We start from the raw sequence: 21,199 nt of genomic DNA on the forward strand, positions 1-21,199 counted from the left end.
GTCCACGCTGCTTTTATGAGCTGTAACACTCACCGCGAAGATCTGCAGCTTCACTCCTGAGCCCAGCGAGACCACGAGCCCACCGGGAAGAACGAACAACTCCAGACGCGCTGCCTTAAGAGCCGTAACACTCACTGTGAAGGTCTGCAGCTTCACTCTTGAGCCAGCGAGACCACGAACCCACTAGAAGGAAGAAACTCCGAACACATCTGAACATCAGAAGGAACAAACTCCAGACGTGCCACCTTAAGAGCTGTAACACTCACTGCGAGGGTCCGCGGCCTCATTCTTGAAGTCAGTGAGACCAAGAACCCACCAATTCCGGACACACCAGGACCACCAAGTGGGTAGGTTAAAGCTCATGACAGTGGGCACTCCTGAAGGGGATGCTCATGATATTGATGATGTGTGGGCAAATGGGGAGCTTAGAGCGCCACGCAAGATAAAAGCCTTGCATTTCCTGGGACGTTGTGGGCTGGTGCATTAGCCAGATACACACCCTTCCACACTGAAGCAGGCTGCACAGCGCCAATGGCAACAAACAAGGAAGGCTCCTCCTGCCTGCAGTCACTTCAGCTCTGAGCGCAGGAGTCAGCCAGGGACCTCCAAGTCCTCAGCCCACAGGGGCAAGAGCTATACTCTGGCCTTATGTTCAGCATTCAGGAAAGCTGCTCTCTGCTGCTCTTTGACATTGAGAATGAAATGAAATTAGTTATTCATTTAACTTCACATTTGGTCTCAATTAAGCTCAAAATGTTCTTCCTTAGAGATGCTCCAATAGCACTTGTAATTAAGGAGTTTAAGGAGAAGCTGTGTTGCTTATATGAGCCACTAGATGGTGACCCAATCCCATCATACAGCCCAGGGTGGGCTGTGGTTCCATCCTGCTTCCTGGAAGAGAGACAGGAGCCGAGGCCTCTTGACTTTTCAGACTTTCAGCTTGCTTTCTGCTTCAGAGGGCAGGGGAAGAGGAATGGTTCTCTCAAGGTCTTCTCTTCCCCAACTGCACTGCTTACTAACTTTAAGCCTGTTTCATCATCAGGAAAATGGTGACATTATCTACCTCATAGGATTGGTATGAAGGGAGACACATACTCAACACACTCCTGCCCTTGAAGAACTTGTCTAGTTAGGGGATAAATAGGAAAACACACGGAGACAGTGACTCCAGGTGAGAGCTATGCTGTTCATTAGTCCAGCCATGCAGGAACACGGCTGGCAGAAGGGCAATTCCGGGGGCAACGGGAAGAGTCCTTCTTCCTTATGAAGGCAGAATTCTGAGGACTTGGATGACTCATTTGATAAGGTAGTGAGGGGTAATGGAAGAGGGAGGAAGTTAACATGAATACTTATCCAACTCCTAGGATGTTAGGCCTTAGAGACTGAAACTGAACAAATGGCATTGGCTCCTACCAGCAGGTAAGTGTGGCACTAGACACATGCAAAAGGCATTGTGCGAGCTCAGGGTCTGGCCTCAGAAATGAGGACTTAGGCTGTGGGTAGGGAGTTGGAAAAAATACTGAAGGTTGGGGGAACCCCAGCACTGAGATCTGCCTGTCTGCACCCATCTCCCAGGTCCCAGGTTACTGGCCCTGTTTGGGCAGCTCTGGGCGCAGCCTGTTCACCACAGGCCTGGTACCTGCCTTCTCCCTGGGCCTCAGCACTCACTCACACGGGGCTAATGTAGGAGCATTACGTTAATTAGTTATTCATTTAATTTAACTTCACATTTGGTCTCAATTAAGCTTAAAATGTTCTTCCTTATAGATGCTACAATAGCACTTGTAATTAAAAAGCAGTAACTCTTTGTGTTTCTCCCTTAGAAATCCACTGGGAGGCTGGGCGAGTGTGTGTGGGGTGGCTGGGGGAGGAGGAGGAGGAGGCAAGAGGCAAAGAAAAGAAAGGGAAAGAAGCTCTTGGTCGGTCCTAGCACCATGAGGCCACCACTAAGACTGAGGCTGGCAGGAGGAACTCAACACATCCTGGGTGTCTGAGTGGGGGTGGGAGAGTTGCTGTTGGGAATCCTGAGAAGTGACAAAGGAGCAGACCTCCTACTGAAAGGTGTGGGGGTAGGGAGGATGGCAGATGGGGGTGGAAGGAGGCAATGCTTAGGGGAGAAGGGGCCCTATATTCTGTGATAGGTACAATGTGCCCCCATAAGATGTCCACATCCTAATTTTCAGAACCAGTGAGTGTTACCTTACATGGCAAATGAGATTTTGTATATGTGATTAAGGATCTTGAGATGGAAGGACTGATGGGGTGGACCCAGTGGAATCAAAGGGCTCCGGATGAATCACAGAGGGAGGCAGGAGTGTTGGGGATTGGCAGATGCTGCTCTGCTGACCTTGAAGACTGAGGAAGGGTCCACCAGCCAGGGGGACGGGGGCGGCCTCTAGAAGGTAGAAAAGGCAAGGAAATGGGTTCTCTCGAGGCTCCAAAGCCTTTCCTTTACCCCCTGAAACCCATTTCTGGTTTCTGACCTCCGGAGCGATAAATGTGAATTGATCAAAACCAGTAAGTCTATGGCAATCTGTTACAACAGTAATAGGAAATTGATAATATTCCCAGTGTAAAACTGGGGTATGACCAATTTAACGGCAGGAAAATAACCACAGGCAAACAAAAGAAATCTCCAAAGCTTAAAACAAGTGAAGGGGCTGGCCTCATAGCATTTAGGCACAGCATAAGGGCTACTGTGTGACCACCTCACCCAAGAGTTCTCCAAGGGCAGGACTTGGACCAAATGCACAGACTATATCATCTCTGGCATGATGTGATGTAAACCATTAAAAACACACTTTCTCATTCTGTCTGTGGCACTGAGCCTGATTTCGATCCCAGCTCTCATTTCTTTGGTGGCAGGAAACTGAGAAAAGAGGGTGGGGGGGGTAGGGACTCAGAATTTTTTTTTTTTTTTTTTTTTTTTTTGCATAAACAGTCACCACCAATAATCTGCTAGGGACAGAGATCAAGTAGAAAACAAAACAAAAATTCCTGGTGTGTGGCTTTGATTCTGCCATTGGCACCTCTGAAAACTGGCCCAAGTCTCAACATTCCAGCTGGATGGTGCTTACAAGAGAGGCGGCAGTGTTCTCAAAACTTGAAAATATAGTCTACTAGCAGCTCAGCTGTTTAGTATCTCTGAGCAAGGGGACAACCAAAGTCTAACAGCAGAGACCTGCCAGAAACCCTGGGCTAATGGGTGAAGCTATCTCTGAGGCCTGCGTGCCTGTTCACGCTTTTCCCCAGACTCCTGCTCAATTCCTAAGATTCTGGTTTTTCCACCAGACTCAGCTACTTTTCCTTGGTATTTCTGTCAAGTGGATTTGCATTGCCTGCCCTTGTCCCTCCTTTTCCTTCGAGTTTATCCTATGGAGCAACGCTCTATAACAGACAGTAGTCAGGCTCTTAGACTCTAGAGCCAAACTGCCTGACTTTGGATCCTGACTCCTGTTTACGCCTACCAGCCCGTGCCTGTTCCCCATCTGTGAAGTGGGGATATTAAGAGTACCTACTTCATAGGGCCGATATGAAGAAGACATAATACTTACAACACACTTAGAAAAATGCCTAGCACATGTTTGCTAAATGTAACAAAAATTGTTATTTTGACATGTGGAACCCTAGACTTATTTCCAAGTATTGGGATGGAACTAGAGATTAAAGGTTGAACTTTATGAACTATAAAATCTCTTCCAATCCTGAGTTCTTATGCTTCTATGAGGATAATCAACACTTTTCTAGATTCGTTTCCATACAGTTCTGATTCTCACATCTGGAAATTCATTTCTATGTAACAGCCAGATACTTAAAGGTTTAAGCAAAGGAATTATGATTGAATGTTTGTTATTCATACTAAAATGATCATTAGAATCCTTTAATGAAACTTTTACCTTTTTGGATATGTGTTAAGAAAATGTCAGGTACAAACAGCTAAGAAACAGTATTAACCAATGTAAAAATAAGGAGTTACTTGAAAGTCAAAAGTGATCTTTCAACTATTTGAGAAATGAGATGTCAGGAATCCTGATGTCAAGTTGGAGCCCCACTTCTAATTAACTGTGAAACTTTTTAAATCCCTTGTCCTCTCTGCCTGTTTCTCATCTGTAAAATAATCACAGCAGGTTTCTTTACACATTGAGCAAAAAATAAACCAGAAACACTTCAACTGCAACAACCATGAAATAGAGTTGATACTAAAGTTTCTGTTAAATAACAGAACAAAAAATGGATTGCTTTATGTTAGAATAAAAACATTTAAAAATAAATTGGATGCCCTCCTTCCAGGAAGCAGTGAGGAAGACAGTCTAGACACCTTACAGCCTAGTTCTTCCATGGGCTTACTCCACCAGGACTAGTGCTTTACACCCTACGGGCACACAATATATGCTGAATGAATGGCAGGATTCGAGAATGAATGGCTATGTACTCCCTAGTCCCTGGACATTGGTATGGTAATTCTGATGCAGTTTTACATTAAATTTACATTGTACACAAAGAATGGTAGCTTTACTTCCATTTTTATCAGTGAAAAATTTAAGGAACTTAACAAATTACCCATTGTGATCTCCATTGTGGGGATAGGGTGGTATCCTCCTAATTCAGCTTTTGTCAGGATACAATTTTAAGACGCCACGAAATAACCTATTTTCTTATATAGAAACCCAGATTTACTCTCCCTCTCCACCTTCTAAACAGTGGGGATCACCAGTCTGCCACAGGATCCCCTCTGGGTAGGGAACAGTAGAGGGAACATGTTCTAAGGCCACTGATCACAGAATGGTTCTGAACACTAAGATGACTTCTGTCTGTATTTAAGGAATGACCTCTGAGCCCTGTCTCCAAGAAGGCCATGAGCATACAGGGTACCATAACAGACATTGACTATAGGGTTATCCCATGCCAAACTCTCAGTGAAATCCATTTTGAGCCCTCTCAGCCTTCTACGTCTTATCCCAACCCTGCGGGGCTTTTTTTGCATAACTGCATTGAGTATGCAGGTAGAAAGAAATCTATCATTCATTTCACCACAGCTGGTAATTATAGACTCCAGGTCTGTAGACTGTAGGTCAAGTCAAGCTGAAATAAACTTTGCACAGGGTATTTTTTTTTTTTTCCTAAAGCCAATCTTTAACATATATGCCTTTCATTTACATCAGGCAAAAAAACAAAAATTAGAAAACAGTAGTATTAAGGATAGAATTTAGTTTCCAACCTTAATACACTTTCCTCCATCTAAATAGTCACCCAAAACCTCATAGTTATTATCCATTGATCTAATAGTTGAATAACTTTTGGGGGGAATAAAAAAGATGGATTCATGGTCAGGAACCTATAAGAGTTTTCCCAGAGTTACTTTTTTAGCAAGGCTCTCAGAAGAAGGTAACAATTGGCAGCTTGTGCTTGTTAGGAGCCAAGCTTCCACTTGGGCTGCAGGGAGACTCACAATAGCATGAGGCCCCCAGCTTGTCTCAATTCCCTCAAGACTTATGCATTCTTTTTTCTCTCCCTCAATCTGCTTAGAGGATGTTTCTTCTTTTCTTACCTGTGTGCCCTAGGCCAGATTAGGAAACTATTTCCTTTGAAGTTTTCTGTACAAAGCCTTATCTGCAAAGTTTTTCCAAACTAAGTAAGATAAAGGAAATGGTTCAATGTAGGGATAACTATACCTGGCCCTCACCAGCCCATGACTCTCAGTGGTTACCTGTTCTCTCTTCTTGGAATTTAGAGCTTAGTTGCCTGTGGGGTGGCAGGACTGGGTAACTTCTCTACCCTGAAAACAGAATTGAGGAGAGAAAGTGAAGGAACAGTGTGGCCTTAACCTACCTGAAGCTCTCAATCAGAGTTCCACAAACCCTAGTGTGTTTTCTCTCTGAGACAAGCCCTGGGGCCTACCACACCTGGGTTTGCACACTGGCTGTTAGGTGAAGGTTGGGCAAGTCAGCTGATCTCTTTAAGCTTCCATTTTTTCTACTTTAAAGTGGGGATGATAAAAATGAGACCGTTGTAAAAATTAAATAAATTAAACCTCAAAGGAATTAGTGTGCTATTGGCATAGAGCACATACTCCATCAGTGATCTCTTTCCAACTTGTTTTCTTGGTTCTTAATTTTAAGCCAGAAGATTCTTTTTCAAATGGCTCTAGGGAGTCAGGATCAGACTTCCAAAGTGGAACCTGACCAGGGCCCCTCCATTTAATGCAAATTTCATTTGGTCTGGGAGATCAGACAGGTATAGAGTTATATCTGATGTTGAGAATATACCTTCCTCACTAGCTTTGGAGAAAGGGCTACAAAGATGAAAAGTGAAGACACCCCAAAATGGACTCATGGTAATTAAATAAGGCACACACAGCCCACCACATCATGGAAGAAAAAAACCTACAGATACATGGCAAGACAAAAAACAAAAAACAATATTTCCATACCTTTCCTCTAATCCCAAGGAAACCTAAAGAACTTGATTAAAAAGCCGTGGCCAAGAGTTCGAAGTGAAAGTCAGCCCTTTAGCTATTATTTATTGCTTTATTAGAGCAGAGGGAAGTGACACTCATTGCCTTCACAGAGCTCTGCAGAAATATATGCACAGAGTGGTCAATGACCAACATCTGAGTAAGTCTTCCAAATTATCACATTAAAATAACCTTTCAAATTTGAGTGCCTCTCCTTTGCAAACAACTGCAACCTCATAATGAATAATTTTATATATTATCAAAAAGAACCAGAAGCCCAGGTGCTTTTTTCCCCAAAATCCACTTACTAAGGACTTGAGTGAAAATCCACTCTAAGCAGATCACTGTTACTATTTCCCTTTCAAAACAGTTGGAAATCCTAAGGTACGGGTACTAAGAAGATAGCAATATCCTTCTTAAGCTGGTAAGAATCTAGCCCCACAGGGACAATTTGGCAATCCTGTTTCTGGAAGCCAGGACTCCAGAGATTTGTCTTAGTGATGGACAGATACTCCTCTAACCTTAAGGCATGAGGGCTGTCAAAACAAGGCTCTGAATAGTGCCTTCCTGCTCATCAATGTCATCACAATGAAGGAGAGAACAGGTTTTCGTTTTCCTGAAGAGTGGTCAGTAGGAGTGCAGTGGTTTGGCATAGATCGGCTCCAGAACATAATGGATTAAAACCAAGAAGAGGCCTCCAAGGAAGATGGCACTAAGGAAAGCCAGCAGGACATAGCGGCCAATGAAAAAGTCATCCACAATCTGGAGAAAGAAAACATCAAAATGAAATTACTACCAGTTAGACACCCTGGCTGGGTTAACCTGAACTCCATGATGAGTGGGCCAAGAGTTAGTTCATGTGTATAACTTCCAGTAACATCCTGCCCTGAGTCTCCTCTGTACATGAGAAAAAAGAATCTTTTCCTCAACTCCCTGAGCAGGAGACACAAGAAGGGATTAATGAGGGACAGGGAACAAATGGCTCAATTTAGGATGTTGGTAAACACTTTGAAGTCCCTGGATGAATTCTTTTATATTCTGAAATCTGTTACCTGAAAGAGTTAATGAGAAGCTTTTGCATGGTCCTAGAAAGGCTCATTTTTGTTGTTGCTAAAATACATTTTATTACGGAGAATTTTAAACATACATAAAAATGCAATAGTATAATAAACTCCCATGTATCTAAGACCCAACCCCCAAAATCATCAATCCATTGCCATTTCAGGAGGGTTCATTTTCAAAATGAAAGGTGACTCTTTAAAGCTATCAGCGGAAGAGTCCCATGCCACGGGGCAGGGAAAATGACCATTTACCTGAGATACTAAAACACTAAAAGGATAGGTAACTTGCCCCAAAGCAGACAGTGGGCTGCCTGGCCTTACACTTGAGGCCCCAAAGATGTTGGTCTTTGCTGACAAAACCCTATAATTGGTGTTGGCTCTACCCACTTGTCCACTGACCCCTTCCAGAGCTCCACTCTCCCCAGATCCAAATGGTGGTGCTTAAATTTGGGCAGGAAAAAGCAATTTAATCTATAGACCTAATGGAGCAACACCACCAACCAAGTGGCTGACTGACTTCACAGAAACTTTGAAATCCCAGTACCTAGGAGAATCCAAAACAGCTGAAAGGCAATTGTGGCAGACAGAATAATGGCCCAAAGATATCCACATCCTAATCCCCAGAAATTGTGAATATGTTAGATTATATGTTAAAGGAGAATTAAGATTGCCAATCAGCTGCCCTTAAAACAAGGGGTATTAATCTGGATTATCCAATCCAGGTGGACCCAATCTAATCACAGGATCCTTCTAAGTTGAATAGGGAGGTGGGAGAGAGGGTCAGAGCAAGAGAGGTGAGGATGGAAGCATCAGTGAGGTGTGATGTCACTGGCTCTGAAGATGGAGGAAGGGGGCTGTCAGCCAAGGAATACGAGCAGCCTCTAGAAGCTGGAAAGGATAAGGAAATGGATTCTCCCCTAGAACTTCTGGAAAGGAATGCTGCCCTGCCAACCCCTTGGTTTTAGCCCAGTGAGACTGATGTTGGACTCTAACCTACAGAACTGTAAGATAATACATCTGTGTTGGGAGCCATTAGTTCACATAATTTGTTACAGCAGCAACAGAAAACTAACACAGCGGCCATACACAAAGTATCTCTCAGACCCGAGCCCTAGTAGGATCACTGAGGTCCAAAGACACCTCAGCTGCTCCAGAGATTACCCCAACAGTCAACTTACAACAAAGGTCAGTTTGATAAAACAGCTTTAACATAACTTTGACCTTGGCTCCGGTACTGAACAAGTCTCTTGCGGGCCACATGTTTGCTCGTTCGACACGTTTCACTTTTTAATTAGCCAATTAGCAGGCCTTGGGTGCAGAAGGCCCAGGCCATGTATTATTGATACAGCATTGAGCCAGGCTGCTGCAGAGGCCCGCTCTCAAAACCTGAAAATGAGAACTCCAATTCTGCCGGCCATGCTGACAAAAGTATTTTGCTCAAACCCCATTCTTGTCTCCTGGGTCTGAAACTCATATGACAGACAATCGAGGGATTGATTTCAAAAATGTGTTTGCTCTGTGCCCTTCTCCCGATGTTTACATCTGCAGCATCCAGAAATGTGGCAGCCCACATCACTCTCCCCCTTAAAAGACAAGGAAAGCAGCTGGGTGCGGTGGCTCACGTCTGTAATCCCAGCACTTTGGGAGGCTGAGGCGAGTGGATCACCTGAGGTCAGCAGTTTGAGACCAGCCTGGCCAACATGGTGAAACCCTATCTCTACCAAAAATACAAAAATTAGCTGGGTGTGGTGGCACATGCCTATAATCTCAGCTACTCGGGAGGCTGAGGCAGGAGAATTGCTTGAGTCCGGGAGACGGAGGTTGCAGTGTGCCGAGATCATGCCACTGCACTCCAGCCTGGCCGACAGAGCGAGACTGTCTCAAAAAAAAAAAAAAAAAAAAAGATAAGTGAGGTGTGAATTTGCCCCTGGCTCACACATGTGGTACCCACACCTCCAGAGTGTTTTCCAAATACTGACAACAAACTTGTGTCCATGGAAATAATTCCTTAAGTGTGTGTGGTAAAGTACTATTTCCCTTGGAGTTTAATTTCCTTCCTCTTGCCATAGTTAATCCTACAGTGTCAATTTTAGTTCAAAAGTTACACATATAATCTTGTGTACTGTTGTTGTCTAGTGTCAAAATGCTAACCCATGAGCTCTCTGGGACTGCCCTGAATATTCTGTTAAGTTCTCAACACTGAAGATTTTGAAGACGGACCTCAGCTTGAATCCCTGTTCTGCCTCTTGCTATGTGACCTTGGGCAAGTTACCTTAACCTCTGACAGACTCAGTGTTCTTACCTATAAAATGGGGATAATAATGGTACCTATGTCATACTACTTAGGGCTGTCCTGAGGTTTAAATGAGACAGTGCAAACAAAGTGTTTGGCACAGGACCTGGCACACGGAAATCCCTTAAAGAATGTTAGCTATTTTCATGACTATCACTTAAAACATCAAAATGAAGGTTGAGAGGAAAGCTGTGAGAAGGAGTAATGGGACAGAAAAGGTCAATGTCATTGTCAAGATCCCATGGGTCTGAGACCAGCCATGCATGGTAAAGCCATGGTAAAGAACTCCAGAGAAGGATTCTGAGAGAGATGATAAAAATCCATTTAAAGACATGGGTGCTGGCAGGTATGGTCCCAGGTATGAGGACCAAAGAACTCCCAGAAGACTGTTGGGAAAATTCTAGCACATGCAGTTGGAGAAGCATGTCCTCAGCACCCTCAGGGCACCACATCAATTTCAGCCCAGGATCTGCAGTTAGGAGCCCAGGCTGCCAGGAATGGGAACACTTCATCTCGGGTGCAGGCCTGTGACTATCCCTATTTCATTTTCTTTTTTTTCTGTCCCCATGGTACGAGGTGGCTTTCCAACAGGCTGTTTTCAACTTGATGCAAACTGAAGATGAGACCAAATCAGGCAAATAACTGCCTGGTGGGGTTGTAGATGGAATTCAGAGTAAGATTCTTTTCCTGAGTGAAGGGGCAGGGGAACTTAAAACTCCCTCTGAACTTTCCCCGTCATTGGTTGAACTTTACAATTCTGACATCTCAGGCAACCCGATGTCAGGGAACATCAAGGGCAGGACGGATGTGCAGACCAAGAGAAATAAGAATCACAGCTCAGGAGGCAAAACGAAAGCAACAGCTTTACCTTAACTTCCACTTCTGGGGCTGGGAATTCACCAGCTCGCGGGAAAAGCAACAGAACTGATGTGATGATCACAGCACCGAAGAATAAAAAAATGACAGAGAACCTGGGGTTAAAAAGACAAATTATTAAAAGCACTGTCTATAATTTCTTCTTTGATCAGTTAGGTCTGGACAGTCTCTTCCTTGGAGCCAATATTCTATGTTTCAGTCCCTTAACAATGTCCAGAGGCCTGCTGTCAACAACCTCTTCATCCCAAAGTCCTTCTTCCTAGACAGGTACCAGCTGGGTGCATTCCCATTTATTCTTGGTAATTCCCAATTCCTAAGAATGGAAATGTGTAGTTTTTATTTTTACTTCTGCCCAAAGTCATAATCAAGAAAAACCAAAGCATCCCCTCTCCACCTCCACTTCTGTTGTTTTTAGAACAGAATACTTTAGAAAATTCTACAACTCTCTGCTTCATACTAACACTGTCTTGCCAGAGTGCAACTCTAGTGTTTTCAGAGTCGGTTTATGGCCTAACCCTGTTCTGAAGGCAATGCCTGATATAGAAAGCAGGCCCAACTCATCAAATGTTGCTTTCGTTTTCCTGGGTCCAGGGCTAGAGCCTCGGGTACTGGACCAAGCCTCTGCCATAAATCTGAACAATTCATAAACACATACACATACAGCCTCAAGAAACTCAATAAGCAGTGAAAGCAGAGTTTCTTGCCACAGTTAGAACTCAAGAACACTACTTCCTTCTCCTCCCATCTCTGCTCCAGAGCATAAATAACACAGTTAGTGTTTATAAAAAGAGGTTAAAATGCAACTCATTCAAACTGCCAGTAATTACAAAACTGATCTCTTAAATTCTAAATGTTTAGTGAGCATCAGCGATTTTGCCTCTAATTGCTTTACCTAGGACTCCCAGTTGGACAGAATGCCTTACCTCGCCGCCCCGGAGGCTCTGGACAGCAGCACACACAGCAGCAGCACTGCCACCCAGAGCAGGGCTAAGATGAACACGCCCGCACCGACTCCGAGCACAGTGCCAGCCATCCCGCGGGGAGGCAGCGGCGGCCCCCCGCCCTGCGCGCCGCACGATCGAGTGTCCTCTGTGCTCCAGTGCAACACACTCCCGTGAAAGCATTCAGACAAATACAGAAAGCCTAAACTCATTACAGGTTATTTTTTGATGATCAGTGTGTTAGGAGGATTACTCAGTACAGGTCATTAATTTTCAGAAATGTCCAGTCCCAGAGTCCCTTAATGGAAACTGGAAATTTAGAACCCAAAGCCTTTCTCTTTGGTGGGGACTGAGAGGGTGTTTTCCGCTCTGCGCTCAGAAGTTTTTTCTGAGTGTTTCCTTTCAAATTTGGTACCTGAGTTCTACTTTGACCTCTTCCCCCAGCCCACGGGAGAAAGCTGAACCCTCTCTGAATATAAAACCCTACCTAAGAACTGGTAGAAGACACCAGGGCATGGGAACTCCAGGGCCAAAGCAGAAGTTGAAGCTCTCAGGTTAAATCCATGGTGTGAGCTGTGACTCACCAGGCAATGGATCACAAGACAGAAAGTTCCCACTCTGTTGTCGAGTTCTTATTCAAGAGGATGAAAACTCCCAGTCCTTAAAGAAGAGGAACAGCCATCACTATTTTTGAACATTCACTGTGTGCTAAGTGCCGTACAAACATATCTCATTGAATCCCGGAGCGAAGCTTCTGAGAAAGGTATTACTATAGCCATGTTACAGGATGGGTAAGTGAGATATAAGCGCGATGGGGTATCTATTAGTTTCCTAATTAGCAGCTCAAAATAGAAATTTATTTTCTCACAGGCCAGCAATCCAAAATAAAGGTGTCAGCAGGGCTGTGCTCCCTCCAAAGGCTCTAGGGCAGGGGTCCCCAACCCCTGGGCCATGGACTGGTACTGGTCCATGGCCTTTTAGGAACTGGGCCGCACAGGAGGAGGTGAGCAGCAGGCAAGCCAGCCTTACCACCTGAGCTTCGCCTCCTGTCCTATCAGTGGCAGCGGCATTAGGTTCTCACAGGAGCACGAACCCTAGTGTGGACTGCACGTGCGAAGCATCTAGGTTGCAGGCTCCTTATGAGAATCTAATGCCTGAAGATCTGAGGTGGAACAGTTTCATCCGGAAACCACCCCCCTGCATCCCCCTGTGGAAAAACTGTCTTCCATGAAACCAGTCCCTGGTACCAAAAAGATTGGGGATCAGTGCTCTAGGGGAGAATCTTTCCCTGCCTCTTCCATCTTCTGGTAGCTCCAGGCACCATTCACTGGCTTTTAACTCACAACTCCAGTCTCTGCCTCCATCTTCCCATGGCATTCTCCTGTGTCTGTCTTCACATTTTCTGTCTCTTATAACGGTACTTGTCATTGGATTTAGGGTCTGTACAAATAATCTAGTATTATCTTGAGATGCTTAACTTAATTAAATCTGCAAAGACCCTTTTGTCAAACAAGGTCATGGTCACAGATTCCAGGGGTGAGGATGCGGACATATATTTTTGGGGACCACCATTCAACTCACAGCAGAGGAACAGCACACCACACTACCTCTCCTGGTTTTCCTTTTCAGCATTGGAGACAAGTCTTAAGCAAACACATTCCTCTAGGTTGCTGGTTTTCTTTACCCTTATGGTTTAAATACCACGAAAATATTAGCTATGAGAAGTTATAAAGTTATTGGAAAGGAGGGTCTAAGCATGAACTGGTAAAAAAAATACGTTTATTGAATCAACATTTATGATGTTCCCACCATGTAAAGCACTGCGCTACAAGCTGGGGATGCCAAAGGTGAATAAGATATCTTCTGACAGAAGCTCAAGGTCTATTGGAGAACATTGTCCTGAAAACAAGTGTCCATATTACATTCTGATTAATGGTAAAAGCGAAGTGCAGTGGGAACTGCAATAGTGAGAGGGGCTTTACAAAGGAAATACTCTGCACAGGCACATTTAGGAAAGAATCAGAGTGAAAAGATGACAGAGTGAGGGGAGATGGGACCTGGGGCCCACCTGCATGCCTAACTTCTCTGGGGAGCAGTCTGCCCTCATTAGGGCCACATGGGCGCCATCTCGGTCACTCTAACACGCCCGGGGTTTCCCCATCTCTGGGTCTTTGTACTTGCTGTTTCCACTGCCTGGAACTAGCCCTCAACCCCAAGCACTCCTGCTACTATTTGTAGGACTGGCTTTCCTCAGCCTTCTGATTTCTGCTTAAATGTCACTCTTCAGTGAGGTCTTCCCCGAGTGTCTTCTCTAAAGTAACCCCTCAAACACTGACTCTCCATCACTCTATTTCCTTCAGAGCATTTTTCACAAAACTAGTTAATATTTTCATTTATTTGTTTACAAGTTTATTTTCTGTCTGTCCAACTAGAATAGTAAACTCCACGAAGGCAGAGACCTGATATCTTTCTCACTGTGGTAACCCCAGTTCTTAGCACAGAGATTATGCACAACAAGTATCTGTGGGAGGAATAAATGACACAGTGCTAACAAGTCCACAAACATCAGGTGAGGGAGTGAAAGGATCATATGGAGTTTTAGAAAGATGACTGTAACCTCTGGTCAATATGCTGGATGGAAGTTAACAAGGGAAGTGCCTCATACAACAGCAAACACATAAATGTTCAATAAAATAGAACAAGAAGAATTTAGTACACAGCAGAGCTCGAAAGCAATAAAGAAAAATCATTAAGTGCTATAAAAAAATGTAACTCAAGGCCTGAGCTGAGCCTAAAAGTCTACGAGGGTCCTGGTGCCTGATACAGACCTTCAGGGTGATTCTCTTCAGGGCAGATAAGGTCTCAAGCCCACGATGGCAAAGAACTAGCAATGAGAACAATGCAGAAAGCTGGGCCCTCACAGGATTGACCAGTTTTTGAAATAGGGTCTAAATAATTTGCTACTGACTTAGTTGGAAGGAAGCTGGCTGAGTGCTTCAGGCCACAGGTCAAAAAACAACAGCCCAAGAGAAATCTGAATCCCCACCTCACATCATATCCATGTGTGAGATTCAATACTACCGATGTGATATGGGAATCCCAAATAGAAAGATTAACATGAAAACTAGACTAAAAGTGAGAACCCATTGGATCCCAGCAGAGACAAAACTAAACCCACAGGCTGGCATGCAAGACTCCCTCAAGAGTAAGTGTAAAACAAAGATGTTTTCAGACATACAAAGGGTGAAATGTAGTACACCTCTCAAGGATCCTCAGTGAAAGGGCTACTCAGAGACATACTTCAGCAAGAAGGAAAATGAACCAAGAAAGGAGGTATGAGATACAGGAAGCATGGTGAGAAAATTATTAAGAAATATTGACAGTAAAGATTTCTGTAATAATGACAATTTTTGAGGGGTTAAAAATCAGAAAGGACTAAATATTACTCAACAGTTATATGGTAGATGGAAAAGGATAGTTCAAAGTTAAAGCATTCTACAGTGATTTTGTTTTGGAGGAGGTATATGTTTTTTAAGCTAAGTACACAAGTTAAAAAAACATACAGGTAAACAGCAAGCAACAGAAATAGAAAAAATAGCTTCTATACTAGTAAAGTGAAAAAAAAATAAAGAAAACAGAAAGTGGGGCAAGGGTCAGTGGGTGTGAGGTGGGTGGCAGAACAAAGAATACGCAAGGAAAATGGAAAATACAAAATAAGATTGTAAAAATAAACCCAAATACAACAGTAATCATAGTACATGGAAACATTATATTTGACTACTAAAAGAAATTCTCTTAGATTTTTCTTTTTAAAAATAGCTGTGTACAAAAGCTCTACAGAAAGTATAATGAGAGGCTGAAAATAAAGAGATTGAGAAAGACATGCAAAGCAAATATTAACAAGACAAAAACCAGGGAAGGAGGGAATAGGGAGATGGTGAATGAGTATAGAGTTTCAGTTTTGCAAGATGAAAGCATCTTGGAGCTCTGTTTCACAACACTGTGAATATACTTAACACTGCTGATCTGCACTCTTAAAAATGGTTAAGACAGGAAATTCTGTTTTTTTGTTTTTGTTTTTGTTTTTTTATAAGCCACAGTTGAAAAAAAACCAAGTGAAACAAAATAAAATATAAGCTATGAAGCAATATTAGTACCACGCAAAACAGATGTAAAGCTCTGAAAAATATTAAGAACAGTGACAAAAGGAACCATTCAGTAAAAAGATACAACCTGAAACAAATGTGAACCTAACAACAAAACCTCCAAATATATAAAGCCAAAACTGACAGAAGTACTACAATAAATGTATAAAACCACTAATTTAGCAGGAGATTTTAATATATGTCTCAGAAACTGATAGATCAAGCAGATAAAAAAAGAATAAACACTTGAGAAAGAGGATACCTGAATGAGAATAAATATGTAAAAAGGTGCTCAACTTCATTAGTCATCCGGAAATTGCAAATTAAAACCAAATTCAGTGCCTTCATATACCCACCAGAATGGCTAACATGAAAACAACAGACAACAGCAAGTGTTGACAAAGATGTGGAGTAACTGGAACCCTCATATACGGCTGGCAAGGGCCATAATTTGTTAACCACTGCTTTGGAGACTATTGGCAGTATCTAATAAAGCTAAATATAAATGCATCCTACATCCAGCTCTTCTATTCTTAGGTGTATTCCCAACAGAAACGCACACCTAAATTCAAAAAAAAGACATTGCAGCCCTACCTGAAATAGCTAAAACCTTAAACAATCCAAATATCTGCCAATAGAGTGGATATAGTACTCTACAATCTATTCATTCATACAGTATATAAAGCATTATGTAGTATAAAGCAATGAGAATAGTATAAAGCAATGAGAAAGAACACACTACAACTATACTCAACAATGTGGATGAATTTCACAAATATTAAATGAAAAAAGCTAGAGGCTAAAGAGTTCATAGTATATGAGTCCATTTATATAATGTTCAAAACAGGTCAAACTAATTTTAGGGGCTGGAGGTCAGGCGTATGGTTGGCTTGTGAAACATAGTGACTGTAGGAGGTTCAGGGAGATGCTGATAAAATTCTGTTTCTTGATCTGGGTTTTGTTCACCTGGGTTTGTTCATACGGTGATGTTGTATCTAACCATGCACTTAGGATTTATATACTTTTCTGTATGTGTATTACCCTTCACTAAAATGTTTACAGAAAGAATATTAAGAGATGTATCAGCCATGTGTAGTATATGGACCCTTATTTGGTCCTGATTCGAACGAAGCATTGCAAAAACCTTTTATGAAATGATTGGGGAAATCTGAAGAATATTCAGATATTTGATAATATTATGAAATTACTGTTTGTATTTTCAGTGAAAAAACACTATTAAAAAGATGATATTATTATATTGTTAAAAGATTATTTATGATAAAGATATATGCATACACACGTAGCACATTACAGATAACAGAAAAGGGTTTCTAGGAGCTTTCTATTACCTCAGTGAGAGGAGGTGAAGGGGCTGACATGAAACAAGACTGGTCATGAGCTAGTTGTTGAAGCTGGGTGATGAGTGTGTAGATGTTTGCTAGCCTATTTTCTATATTTCTGAATATATTTTAAACTTTCATAATAAAAAGATGTGGATATGTGTGTATATATATATATATATCTGCATAAATATGAATATAAAAGATGAGTAAGATTTGTATAGCTAAAATTATAAAACTTTATCAAAGACAAAAAAAAAAAAAAGAGAGAGAGAGGACCTGAATAAAGAAATAAAGCAGACCTGAACAGAGAAATAACCTGTGTTCCCGGATGGGATGGTTCAATTAAAAAAATCTCAATTTTCCTTAACCTATAAATTCAATGCAATCCTAACCAAAGTCTAAAAACAATTTTTTGTGGAACTTGAAAACGGATCCTAAATTCATATGGAAGAGCAAAAACCCAAGAATAGCCAAAACAATTTTGAGAACTAGGATGGCAACTTGCCTTTCTTGTTACCAACTGCCGCAAGACACATTGAAAAACCAAAGTAATTAAAACAGTGTGATAGTGGCACAAAGACACATGGCCCAGTGGTATAAAATCAAGAACCCAGAAACAGATCCATGCATTTGTGAGAACTTCCTACAGCACAGAGTTGGCTTTATGATTCAATGGGTAAAGAACTTCATAGATAGTGTTGGGACAAATGATTCTCCAATAGGAAAAGAATAAAACTAGATCTCTATATGATATACAGAAGTTGATTTTAAATGGAAAGTAATTCGTAATGAAATAGCATATGTTTAAATATACAAATGTTCAGGCTGACTACACTAGAATACATAATGAAGTACAGTAGTCAGATGCTTGCACCTAAACTTAGAATCACCATGAATGCAAAAGCTTCAAATGCAGACTATGCAGGTGTGTTGTTCTGGCAACTCAAATACCACGAGCTGTGCTGCCTTCAGTTATGTGATTTGCTAGAGTGATGAACAACTCTTGTTAAAGTTCCAAACCACAAATAAGTATAATTTTCCTCTGATTTACATTAGAGTTGCATTCCTGGAAATTTTACTATATTAAACTGTGCCAAAAAATACATTATGTTTATACAAAAACCGGAGTTAGGCTCTACACTCAGATAATTATAAATGAGTATCCTGTGGGATACTCAAAATTTGCACAGGATGCAGGACAATTCTTCGTTGTGAGGACTGTCCCATACATTACAGAACATCCAGTATCCGCAGTCCTGATCTGTAAACCCCAGTAGTGCCTCCAATCAAAGAATAACAAAATACATCTTCACAAATTCCAAAACACCCTAAAACGGGCAGCAACATCTTCTTGGGGAACCACTGTTCTAGACACAGTCTTGCATAAAGAGACATGTACAAGGTGTTTATTGCAGCTTTGTTTACAATAGCAAAACATCAGGAAAAAACCTAAATGTCCATCAATCAGGGAACAGATACAATATTATATATTCATAATGAATACTTAAAATGAATGAAATTGATCTATATGTATTGATGTGAATATATCTCAAAAACAATGTTGAGTGACAAAAACAAGTTGCAAAATGGAACCCACAGTATGATACTACTTGTATTTTTAAAATTAAATACAATCTAAACAGTAATATATATTGTTTCTGACGAACGTATATACAGCAAAAGTATAAAAACATGGGCATAAACAATACATGACAATTTCAAAAGACTATTTGCCTCTGCAGAGGGAGGAAGGAAAGGGAATGGGGTTAGGAGTGGAAATAAAAGGGATCTGAACTAAATCTGTGATGTTTTATTTCTTTAAAATAAAAAACTTGAGCTGGTGTGCCAAAATGTTAATATTTATTAATCTGATTGGTGGAACATAGATATTATACTACCCAATGTACTATTTTCTGTTTTTAAATTTTTCGTGATAATTTTTAATTTTTAAAAAGGTAATGGGCAGCAGGATGCATATGAATTGGGTGACCAGTTAGGAAACTATTGCAATTCTCCAGATAAGAGATGATGAGGGTCTGACCTCCAGTCTTAGCTGTGTCAAGGGAGAAGGTGTTAGAAATGACACAAGTTTCTAGCTTAGTTGACTGAGCTGATGGTACTGCTCTTAAGAAAACAACTATTTAAATTTAATTTGTGCTATTCTGGATATTACACAAATAACCCAGAAGACTTGGACCAACTCTAACAGTTAGAATAGAGGGCAAATGGTAGTTGAAGCTGGCTGGCGCCATTAGAAATGTTGCCCTTCAATCCCCCTTAGTAGCTTAAGAGTTCGTGAGACATTGGATTTATATATGGTATGGCTTTAAAGTAATAAGATAAATATTCCCAAGCTCTTTTAAGAATGGAGCTCATAATTTTATAAGCAAACTATACATTTTCTTACTAAGCATAGAAAAGAAGGGCTGGGTATAGTATAGAGTGCTGCTATAGAGGAAGAGAGAACATCTAGTCATTTTTATCTTATTTAAATGTGAGAATAATATCTGTGATAATTTCCCATATTAGAATAGCTAAATTATTGTTATTGAGTACAATACAATAAAATATAAAAACGGGTTCATGCCATCATTAAACCTTCTTTGAGAAGTGATGGCTTGGCCAACCCGATTTCAAGGGTAAGTCCATTTACTTAATATCTGTGGCATTTAAAGCAGGTAGACTGGAGTGAAAAAAAATAATTTAAATTTGAACAGTTCAGCAGCTGACAACAAAAGCAACTACAGGGCTAATGTTTTCCTTCTGTGCTCAATGCTGTGAGGTTTTTCTCTGAGAGAGTTTGTTCAAAACCTTTTAGATGTGTGTGTTCATTTAATGGTTGTTTCTACATACCCTTTCATCCAGCTGTCAGAGAAAATAGGAATAAATGGACTGATCCCTGCACAGGTAACCTAATGGATTAAAAATACGGTACTCATCACCAGGTTGATCATCATGAGCGAGAATACTAACTGCCATTATAAGATGACTTATAAGATGACTTACTATCTAAGACAAATGTGGATTCCTCAGAGGGTAATGTGGCCTAAGTGCTGCTGCTGGAGGGAGATATCTCACCCATCCCCCGATTTTCACACTGACTCAAGCCCTTGAAAGCAACAGAAAACAGTGGGTTACAAGGAGTGAAGTGCTCCTCTGGAAGAGTCCTTTTCACTTTGCTTTATAGCTGTTTTCCAAACCTTCAAAAATAACGGGGGGGGGGGGTTACTTTCACACTTTTATGTTTCTACTTTAAACACTTCACTATCTTTTGAATTTTAAAATATTAGAATAACGCCTCTACCTTTGTAATTAGATAAAATGCAAGCCTGGGGAAAAAATCAGTTGCCAAGCTCCCAAAATGCCACCGATGTAGCATCTGCTCTTAACACGTTGATAGAAAAAGGAGGATCAGTAAACCTAGGTCTCTTCCTTGCATCCCTCTCCTGGACGGTGTTGTGGGTTGGAAGCGCTGCAGAGCCTCGGTCTATCCGCTCTCTGGATCTCACAGCACTGCAGCCTGGGAACACCCCACTTGAACTCTAAGCTTCTCCCCAACCCTGTTGCAGATTCAAACTGGCGACAGGAAAACAATGCCCCCCATGTCTCGTCTTCAGAATGTGCACCTGGCCACCTCCCAGGAGCTAGAGAGGGATTAAGGTCTCGGTCATAAGAGATCTGAATCAGGCACTGACACTTCCTTTTCTTAAGAGCATGAAACAAAACAGTCCTTCCTTCTCTGCCTCCAATTAAGTATTTATTAGCCGGGCCTTGGGTCCAGATCAGCGGTAAGGGTGGTCTGCGAGGTCCGTGCACCGCCGTCCGCCCACGCCTTCTTCCAACCACCTCAGCCCGACCCTCCACTTTTCTCCCTTCCCCGCAGCCGCCCCGCTTTCCTCACCTCTGCCCCCTTCACCTGGATCCACTCTCCCCCAGGCTCTACTCACACCTCAGATTCCGGCGCGTTCCAGCCCACGGGGCTCTGGTTTACTTAGGGCGAATCACAAGTGGGCTTTCATTTAGGTGATTTAAGATTCACTAATCAGCGTTGCTCTTTCAACGGCCAACTTCTTCCTCATTAGCTTA

At 41.9% G+C, this 21,199-nt stretch overlaps 1 protein-coding gene across 66 annotated transcripts, besides 1 other annotated feature; it reads right to left on the reverse strand.

Moving 5' to 3' along the window:
- Positions 1 to 3,864: 3,864 nt before the first annotated feature.
- Positions 3,865 to 21,102, reverse strand: TMEM218 (transmembrane protein 218). Of its 66 annotated transcripts, none has more exons than NM_001258240.2 (7): positions 21,063 to 21,102; positions 20,120 to 20,222; positions 19,967 to 20,025; positions 12,210 to 12,285; positions 11,608 to 11,793; positions 10,677 to 10,779; positions 3,865 to 7,216 (listed from the first exon to the last, which is right to left on the reverse strand). In NM_001258240.2, the coding sequence occupies exons 5-7, from the start codon at positions 11,715 to 11,717 to the stop codon at positions 7,082 to 7,084; spliced, it is 348 nt and encodes a 115-aa protein (NP_001245169.1). In that variant the 5' UTR covers positions 11,718 to 11,793; positions 12,210 to 12,285; positions 19,967 to 20,025; positions 20,120 to 20,222; positions 21,063 to 21,102; the 3' UTR covers positions 3,865 to 7,081. The 66 variants fall into 66 exon arrangements, 45 of the variants coding, with proteins under 45 accessions (NP_001245169.1, XP_047282497.1, NP_001374177.1 ...); XM_047426541.1 differs by having other exon boundaries at positions 12,113 to 12,285; NM_001387248.1 differs by having other exon boundaries at positions 21,061 to 21,102.
- Positions 20,797 to 20,886: an enhancer, noted in NCBI's record as "active region_5694". NCBI's record gives its function as "activates an Ori minimal core promoter by ATAC-STARR-seq in GM12878 lymphoblastoid cells {active_cell/tissue: GM12878}" and the evidence as "EXISTENCE:reporter gene assay evidence [ECO:0000049][PMID:35858748]".

The sequence above is a fragment of the Homo sapiens genome, chromosome 11 (assembly GCF_000001405.40).
Source record: "Homo sapiens chromosome 11, GRCh38.p14 Primary Assembly".
Lineage (NCBI taxonomy): Eukaryota > Metazoa > Chordata > Mammalia > Primates > Hominidae > Homo > Homo sapiens.